Source organism: Homo sapiens, chromosome 2, assembly GCF_000001405.40.
Source record: "Homo sapiens chromosome 2, GRCh38.p14 Primary Assembly".
Classification (NCBI taxonomy): domain Eukaryota; kingdom Metazoa; phylum Chordata; class Mammalia; order Primates; family Hominidae; genus Homo; species Homo sapiens.
The window spans coordinates 70,199,802-70,209,355 of NC_000002.12; positions in this window are offsets into that span (position 1 = coordinate 70,199,802).

The following is a 9,554-nucleotide window of genomic DNA, read 5'->3' on the forward strand; positions in this document are numbered from 1 at the left end:
TTTTATTTTTATTTTTAGTATAAGTGTGTCCCATGCAACATTTGGCATTGTATTTTTCTTTTTTTGAGACAGGGTCTTGCTCTGTTGCCCAGGCTGGAGTGCAGTGGCATGATCATGGCTCACTGCAGCCTCAACTCCCCGGGGTCAAATCATCCTGCTACCTCAGCCTCCCAAGTAGCTGGAACTACATGTGCATGCCACCATGCCTGGCTAATTTATTTATTTTAATTTTTTATGTTGTAGAGATGGAGTCTCACTATGTTGCCCAGGTTGGTCTCTCAAACTCCTAGGTTCAAGCAATCCTACCACCTTGGCCTCCCAGAGCGCTGAGATTATAGGTGTGAGCTACTACACCCAGCCAAACCAAATTCTAAAAGACCCTAATTAACTGATGAGTGATAGCCAGGAAGAGTCCAAAACATTACCTCCTAAGTATTTAATTTATGTTTGCAATGTAACTAAAGACTTTGCCTTAAATAGTAGTTAACCTACCTGTATTTGAAAATCTCTTCAAAGACCACTTATGTACTCTGGAATTCAGAAAGGTGCAAAATCCCTACTTTTTAACCCTCGTATTATTTGTATTGCAACAAATCAGGTGAAAAAGCACTGAAGCCATAGAAATCAGAACTTCTGGCCGGGCGCGGTGGCTCATGCCTGTAATCCCAGCACTTTGGGAGGCCGAGGCGGGCGGATCACGAGGTCAGGAGATCGAGACCATCCTGGCTAACACGGTGAAACCCCGTCTCTACTAAAAATACAGAAAATTAGCCGGGCGTGGTAGCGGGCGCCTGTAGTCCCAGCTACTCGGGAGGCTGAGGCAGGAGAATGGCGTGAACCCGGGAGGCGGAGCTTGCAGTGAGCCGAGATCGCGCCACTGCACTCCAGCCTGGGCGACAGAGCGAGACTCCGTCTCAAAAAAAAAAAAAAAAAAAAAAGAAATCAGAACTTCTTTGGGTAATTTTCAAAGGCATCTTGAGATTAATGGAAGTACTCACTTAAGGGCACTTGACTACTTTTTGAGAAACCTATCTAAAGATGTTTCATCTTTTTCAAGTAGCAGTTTCCTGCAAGTATAGGAAGGAAAGTTGTGGACTACTCTGTTCCTTCCAAAGCAAAGTCCATTTCTTGAGCTGCCATCATCAGTACTAGAAGCTTCATCTGTTATGCAAAATTTATATGCCATTTATTTCTGTATTTTCATCTTTTGATCCCTTACCAAATTGTCTCATATAAAAAACAACTTGGCTGGGGGCAGTGGCTCACACCTATAATCCCAGCATGTTGGGAGGGTGAGGCAGGATTGCTTGAACCCAGGAGTTTGAAACCAGCTTGGGCCTTTTTTAGAGACCCTGTCTCGAAAAAAATAAAAAATAAAACAACAACAACAACAACAACAACAAAACTCAGACCAAAACTGAGCATAAGATAGAATGCACAAAATCAAATTTTCTTTTTTTCTCAACTTTTACTTTAGATTGGGGGAACATGTGCAGCTTTCTTACCTGGGTATATTGCACGATGCTGAGGTTTGGGGTATGAATGGTTCCATCACCCAGGTACTGAGCATAGTACCTAATGGTTAGTCTCTCAACCTTCCCCCCAGTAGTTCCCAGTTTCTATTGTTGCCATCATTATTTCCATGAGTACCCAATGTTTCACTCCCACTTATAAGTGAGAACATGTAGTGTTTGGTTTTCTGTTCCCACATTAATTCACTTCAGATAGTGACCTCCAGCTTCATCCATGTTGCTGCAAAGGACATGATTTCATTCTTTTTTATGGCTGCATAGTATTCCATGGTATATATATGTAAGGAAAAAGGCTGCATGGCAGTCAAGAGTAGGCCAAGGTAAACATCTGGTGCAGCGTGACACAGCAGGATTGGAGTGCGTGTGTACAATCCTGTGCATTATATAATCACAGTTATGTAACCATGTTATAAGTGAGCTCATCAACTGGCTCTGAGGTGCAAAAATGTATCACTGACACTGTGAGAGGGGCACATAATAAAGCCCCTGCCTCCGGACCCCCAAGTGTTCTTTCAACTACCTGCCACCCGTCCACCAACTCCCCTCGGACTCCAGCTTAGGTTGGAACCGGACAATTGGTGTAGTTAGCAGGATTCTGAAGTGAGTGAGTCCTCAGCACCTGATGATCCCTGGTTGGCCATGTGGCCCCAACATGGGTTGCGGTACTTGGTGGCAGCTGTGCTGTCCAGATGGGCCCTGGTGGAAACATGGGCAGAGGTAGACAGGTCCCCCATGAGCATGGAGAAGGCCCTGAAGCACCTGGAAGCATACAACACCGAGAAGGAGGGTGCCTTTGCCAGCAGAGTTGGATGGGCATTTTTGACTATGCTATGGAAAGTGCATGCCCAGTCCCTGCGGGATACAGCACAGGTAAGGAACCTCCAGGTGCTAGCTGAGTGCCTGGAGGCCCAAATACAAAGCTTGGAATGAGAATGGGTAACTGCCGTAAGTGCAGGCTTGAGCCTGCCTTCCTGGCCAGAGACTCCCATTCCATCTGATACCGAGGAGGAAGAACCCCTGCTGCAGGCTCACCCTGTGGTCTGCCAGAAAATAGAGCATGAACAGCCACTTGGGCCCCAAGGGTGGGCCCAGGGACCCCCTACCGTGGTGGAGCACACTTCATATAGTGCCTACACCCCCACTGAGTTGTGGGAGTTAGGTAAGTAGCGGAAGCCCCTACCTGCCTGGATGCTCCGCTTCTGGGACAAAGGAGCTGACAGTATTTCCGGTTCCACTGCTGAGACGGAAAAGTTGGCTTCTGTCACAGCTCACCCCTCCCTCCATCAGCGGTTGCAGGTGAGCAGGCAGTTGGCACAAGGGAAAGGTGACCATATCCTGACTGAATGGCTGATGGCAGCCATGTGGACAGGGTGGAATGATGCCAGAGAATTATCAAAAACTGTGAGTAAATGGCAATCATATGCAGAGCTGGTGGAGGTAATTCGGAAGATGGGTATGTGGCAGGCTATGTTTGATTTGAATACCCAAGGGCCAGATGATGAACGCTTTACCTCCCACATGAGGGACCTTGTGTTGGGCTCTGCATCCCCGAGTGGTTTTGGCTCTCTGGTCGTTGTCCTTCTCCATACATTGGGCATAAGGTGACTACCATACATAAGGTGATACTGCCATGGCAGCCCTTGGGGAAGCAGAAAGCCAGCAGTGGGAGCAGGGAGTCTGTGCTATAAAGAAGGGGAAGGTATCCCTCCCATAGGGAGCCACAGGACAAAAAGTGGCCCCAGCAGGTGACCCCCATGCAGATGTGAATTGATCTGATATTGGCTGGGGTTGCTTGAGAGAAAATTGACAGGCAACCCAATGAAGTGCTGTTAACTTTGTGGAAGCAATTGTCCCCGGAGCAGCAATTCCGGAAAATGCCCAAGGCAGGGCAGGATGATGCTGCTCAACCCAGTCCTGCTGGACACTCCAGCTCAAGGATTACTTGCAGATGGGTGGGAGAATAAAGCCTCTTGTGTTTGATTAGGGAACTGGCCAAGGTGCCCGGCTTGGCAGGACACCAGAGATCAGAGGCCACATGTGGAATTGGCAATCCACTGGTACCCCACCAATGTACAGCAGGTGTTGGTGCTGGTAGGTACTGATGCAGATTATAGCCTCGTCTATGGGAAACGGGATAAGTTTTTAGGCAAGGCTGCATACACAGATGGTTATAGAGGCCAGTCAGTGAAAGTAAAACCTGTATCTTTGCACCTCGGCATTGGCTGCTTGGCTTCCCATTTATACACTGTGTATATCTCTCCCATACTGGAATACATTCTGGGGATGGATATTTTGCAGTCTTAACTTACACACCACAGCCAGAGAATTCAGACTCCGCGTACATGTAGGAAAGCTGGTACTATGGGGACATATGCATCACCTGCCCAGGTTCTGCCACAACCCCGATGGGTTACCTCCGCTTGTCAATACCACTTGCCAGGAGGGCATACGGAGATAACTGAGACTATTAAGAAGCTAGAGGATGGCCGGGCTCGGTGGCTCATGCCTGTAATCCCAGCACTTTGGGAGGCCAAGGCAGGCAGATCACGAGGTCAGGAGATTAAGACCATCCTGGCTAACACGGTGAAACCCCGTCTCTACTAAAAATACAAAAAATTAGCCAGGAGTGGTGGCACGCGCCGCAGTCCCAGCTACTCGGGAGGCTGAGGCAGGTAAATGGCGTGAACCTAGGAGGCAGAGCATGCAGTGAGCCAAGATCGCGCTACTGCACTCCAGCCTGGGCGACAGAGCGAGACTGTCTCAAAAAAAAAAAAAAAAAAAAAAAAAAAGGTAGAGGAGGTGCAGATAGTGCATGGCACACACAGCCCCTACAATTCTCTGGTATGGCCAGTCAAAAGGCCCGTTGGGACTTTGTAGATGACAGTGGACTATCAAGAACTAAATAAAGTAACAGCCCCTTTACATGCAGCAGTCCTGTCTATCACGGATTTGATGGACCACCTGACGATGGAATTGGGACAGTACCATTATGCAGTGGATTTGGCTAATGCATCCCTTTCAGATGATATCGCTCCAGAGAGCCAGGAACAGTTTGGCTTCACATGGGAAGGGCGACAATGGACTTTCACAGTGTTGCCACAGGGCTACGTGCATAGTCCCACCATATGTCATGGTCTCGTTGCTACGGATTTAGCCACCTGGAAATTTCCAAAGGGGATCCGCCTATTCCATTACATTGATGATATTATGTTAACCTCTGATTCTCCTGCAGATTTAGAAGCTGTGGTGCCCCTCTTGCAACAACATTTGGCAGCATGAGGTTGGGCTGTCAATGAATCCAAGGTGCAAGGGCCTGGGTTGTCTGCCAAATTCTTGGGAGTTATCTGGTCGGGTAAGACAAAAGTCATACCAGAGGCCATCGTAGACAAAATTCAGACATATCCCAGCCCACCATGGTGAGGCAGCTGCAGACCTTTGTGGGCCTGCTGGGGTATTGGCGGGCGTTCATGCCCCATTTGGCTAAAATGACAAAACCGTTGTACTGGTTGACAAAAAAGAGGGCTACCTGGGATTGGGATGATAAAGCTAAGGCAGCCTTTCTGGCAGCCATGTGGGCTATTCAATAAGCACAGGCCCTACAAGTGATTGACTAGGGGCACCATTTAAACTCTTTCTGCCTTGGCCTCCTAAAGTGTGGGAGTTATAGGCCTGAGCCACTGCGCCTGGCTTGAGAATCTAAGGCTAGTATTAATTTCAATCCTTTTCCATTTGGTAACTTTATTTTTACTTATTTATTTTTTTTGAGACGGAGTCTCGCTCCGTCGCCCAGGCTGGAGTGCAGTGGCGAGATCTCTGCTCACTGTAAGCTCCGCCTCCCGGGTTCACGCCATTCTCCTGCCTCAGCCTCCCGAGTAGCTGGGACTACAGGCATCAGCCACCACGCCCGGCTAATTTTTTGTATTTTTAGTAGAGACGGGGTTTCACCATGTTGGCGAGGATGGTCTCGATCTCCTGACCTCGTGATCCACCCGCCTCGGCCTCCCAAAGTGCTGGGATTACAGGTGTGAGGACCGCGCCCGGCCTCCATTTGGTAACTTTTAGAATATTGTCTGGTGTCGGCCAGGCACGGTGGCTCACGCCTGTAATCCCAGCACTTTGGGAGGCCGAGGCGGGTGGATCACGAGGTCAGGAGATCCAGACCATCCTGGCTAACACGGTGAAATCCCGTCTCTATGAAAAATACAAAAAATTAGCCAGGTGTGCTGGCCGGCGCCTGTAGTCCCAGCTACTGGGGAGGCTGAGGAGGAGAATGGCGTGAACCCGGGGGGCAGAGCTTGCAGTGAGCCGAGATCGCGCCACTGCATTCCAGCCTGGGAGAGAGAGCAACACTCTGCCTCAAAAAAAAAAAAAAAAATAAATAAATAAATAAAATAAATAAAATAAAACGAATAAAATAAATAAAATAAAATAAATTCTAGGCCGGAAATGGTGACTCATGACTGTAATCCAGGCCCTTGGGGAGGCTGAGGCAGGCGAATCACCTGAGGTCAAGAGTTCGAGACCAGCCTGGCCAATATGGTGAAAACCGGTCTCTATGAAAAATACAAAAATTAGCTCGGCGTGGTGGCAGGCCTATAACCCCCATACTTTAGGAGGCCAAGGCAGGAAGAGTTTAAATGGCTCCCCTAGTCAATCACTTGTAGGGCCTGTGCTTATTGAATAGCCCACATGGCTGCCAGAAAGGCTGCCTTAGCTTTATCATCCCAATCCCAGGTAGCCCCCTTTTTTGTCAACCAGTACAACGGTTTTGTCATTTTAGCCAAATGGGGCATGAATGCCTCCCAATACCAATACTACAGCTGTAGTCCCAACTACTCAGGAGGCTGGGGCAGGAGAATTACTTGAACCCAGGAGGTGGAGGTTACAGTGAACCGAGATCGCGCCACTGCACTTCAGCCTGGGCAACAGAGCAAGAGCAAGACTCTGTCTCAAAAAAATACAGTACATTCTACCCACTCTATTTTCTCAGTTCTTTTCCTGGGATACCTGTTAGTTGGTTATTAAACCTCCTGTATTGAGCCAAGTTAATTTTTTCCCTTCACTTTTGATTTCTGTTCTAAAACTGTTTCTTGTCTTTTAATATTCTGAATTCATTCATATTTTAAATTTCCTTTTCTGGTATTTTACTACTATCCTGCTAATTGTTTTTTGTTTGTTTTTTGAGACAGGGTCTTGCTCTATCACCCAGGCTGGAGCACAGTAGCACGATCTTAGCTCACTGCAACCTCCGCCTCCTGGGTTCAAGGGATTCTCATGCCTCAGCCTCCTGAATAGTTGGGATTACAGGCACGTGCCACCACACCTGGCTAATTTTTGTATTTTTAGTAGAGACAGGATTTCCCCACGTTGGTCAGGCTGGTCTTGGACTCCTGGCCTCAAGTGGGTGATCCACCCGCCTCAGCCTTCCAAAGTGCTGAGATTACAGGAGTGAGCCACAGTGCCCTGCCATATTTTATTTATTTATTTATTTATTTATTTTTTGAGACAGAGTCTCACTCTGTTGCCCAGGCTAGAATGCAATGGGATGATCTCTGCTCTTGGCACCCTCAGCCTCCTGAGTTAAAGTGATTCTTGTGTAGCTGGGATTACAGGAATGTGCCACCATGCCCAGATAATTTTTGTATTTTTAGTAGAGACGGAGTTTTGCCATGTTCACCAGGTTGGTCTCGATCTTCTGACGTCAGGTGATCTACCTGCCTCGCTCTCCCAAAATGCTGGGATTACAGGTTTGAGCCACCGCAGCCAGGCCCTAATTTCATTTTTTGTAGGCATGAGGTCTTGCTATGTTGCCCAGGCTGGTTTCAAACTCCTGGGCTCAAGCAATCCTCCCACCTTGGCCTCCCAAATTGCTGGGATTACAGGCCTGAGTCACTGTGTCTGGCTTCCTAATTTCTTTTTGTTTGTTGGTTTGTTTTTTGAGACAGTCTCGCTTTGCCCAGGCTGGAGTGCAGTAGTGCCATCTTGGCTCACTACAACCACTGCCTCCTAGGTTCAAGCGATTCTCCTGCCTCAGCCTCTTGAGTAGCTGGGATTACAGGCTTGTGCCACCACGCCCAGTGAATTTTCTGTTGTTTGTTGGAGACAGAGTTTCCCTCTTGTTACCCAGGCTGGAGTGCAGTGGTGCGATCTTGGCTCCCTGCAACATCCGCCTCCCAGGTTCAAGTGATTCTCCTGCCTCAGCCTCCTGAGTAGTTGGGATTACAGACATGCACCACCATGCTTGGCTAATTTTTTTTTTTTTTTTTTTGAGACAGAGTCTCGCTCTGTTGCCCAGGCTGGAGTGCAGTGGCGCTATCTTGGCTCATTGCAACCTCTGTCTCCCAGGTTCAAGCAATTCTCCCACCTCAGCCGCCTGAGCAGCTGGGATTTTTTGTATTTTTAGTAGAGATGGGGGGGGGGGGTCTCACCATGTTGGGCAGGCTGGTCTCGAACTCCTGACCTCAGGTGACCCACCCGCCTCGGCCTCCCAAAGTGCTAGGATTACAGGCGTGAGCCACTGTGCCCTGCCTAGTTTTGTATTTTTAGTAGAGACAGGGTTTCACCATGTTGGCCAGGTTGGTCTCGAACTCCCGACCTCAGGTGTTCCGCCTGCCTCGGCCTCCCAAAGTGCTGGGATTGCAGGCGTGAGCCACCGAGCCTGGCCATCATTTCTTGAATACAACATCTTATCTGGGGACATTCCAGCTCCTGGAAATTTTCTGATTGAGAGTTGCTTTTTGTTTAGAGCTACCTTTCACAATCAAAGTTTTCCTCAAATTTCTAGTGGTATTTTCCCATCCCTATGTAAAAGTGAAGCACTAAAAACCTGTCTGGAAGATTTGTGCACATGGGCAGGCCTTATTGACTGGCTGCAGAGGGAATGGTGGCCAGTTGGCGTTTTCGGTGGGTGCTCTTAAATGTCAGTAACTGTTGTCTCTCAAGAGTCACTTAGTTTTACCACAGAAGGATCCTCCAACATCCTGCCTGGTGGGTATGTCTGGCTGTTGGCATTCTAGAGCTGAACAAGGATAAATAGCTAAGGATCTCATTTATCCAGTATACAAAATTGTGCTTAATCTCTATTTTCTGAACAGCATCACCTAGTAAAGTTTGCTTTTTCCTTTTTAAAGTTGAATTTACTATCTCAGTAACTTCACCCTCCAACTTTAGGAGCCACAGTGTAATTAATTACTGGCAATCTTGGGAATATCTTATCTCTGAAGCTAGTGCTGCAAACAGCCATTTGAGTGAGCAGAAATTTCAAATAACTGTAAGACACTCAAGAAATGCTACCATTGGCTGGGCGCAGTGGCTCACTCCTGTAATCCCAGCACTTTAGGAGGCTGAGGCAGGTGGATCATCTGAGGTCAGGAGTTTGAGATCAGCCTGTTCAACATGGCAAAACCCTATCTCTACTAAAGATACAAAAATTCAGCTGGGTAAGGTGGCACATGCCTATAGTCCTAGCTACTCGGGAGGCTGAGGCAGGAGAATCACTTGAACCCAGGAGGCAGAGGCTGCAGTGAGCTGAGAGTGTGCCACCGCACTCCAGCCTGGGCGACAGAGACTTCGTCTCAAAAAAAAAAAAAAAAACAAAAACAAAAACGGGTTTTTATACACGAACAATAAAGTGAATTAAGCCTGTTTTTTTTTTTTTTTTTTTTAAAAAGGCTGGTCGTGGTGGCTCACACCTGTAATCCCAGCACTTTGGGAGGTCAAGACAAGTGGATCACCTGAGATCGGGAGTTCAAGACCAGCCTGGCCAATATTGTGAAACCCCATCTGTACTGAAAACACAAAAGTTAGCCAGGCGTGGTGGCAGGAGCCTGTAATCCCAGCTACTCAGGAGGCTGAGGCAAGAGAATGGCTTGAACCTAGGAGGGGGAGGTTGCAGGGAGCCGAGATCACACCATTGCACTCCAGCGTGGGGGACAATAGTGAGACATCATCTCAAAAAAAAAAAATGGTTTACAAAAACCTGCTACCATTGACACCTGTTGTTTTCCTGTTTGGTTAATACAT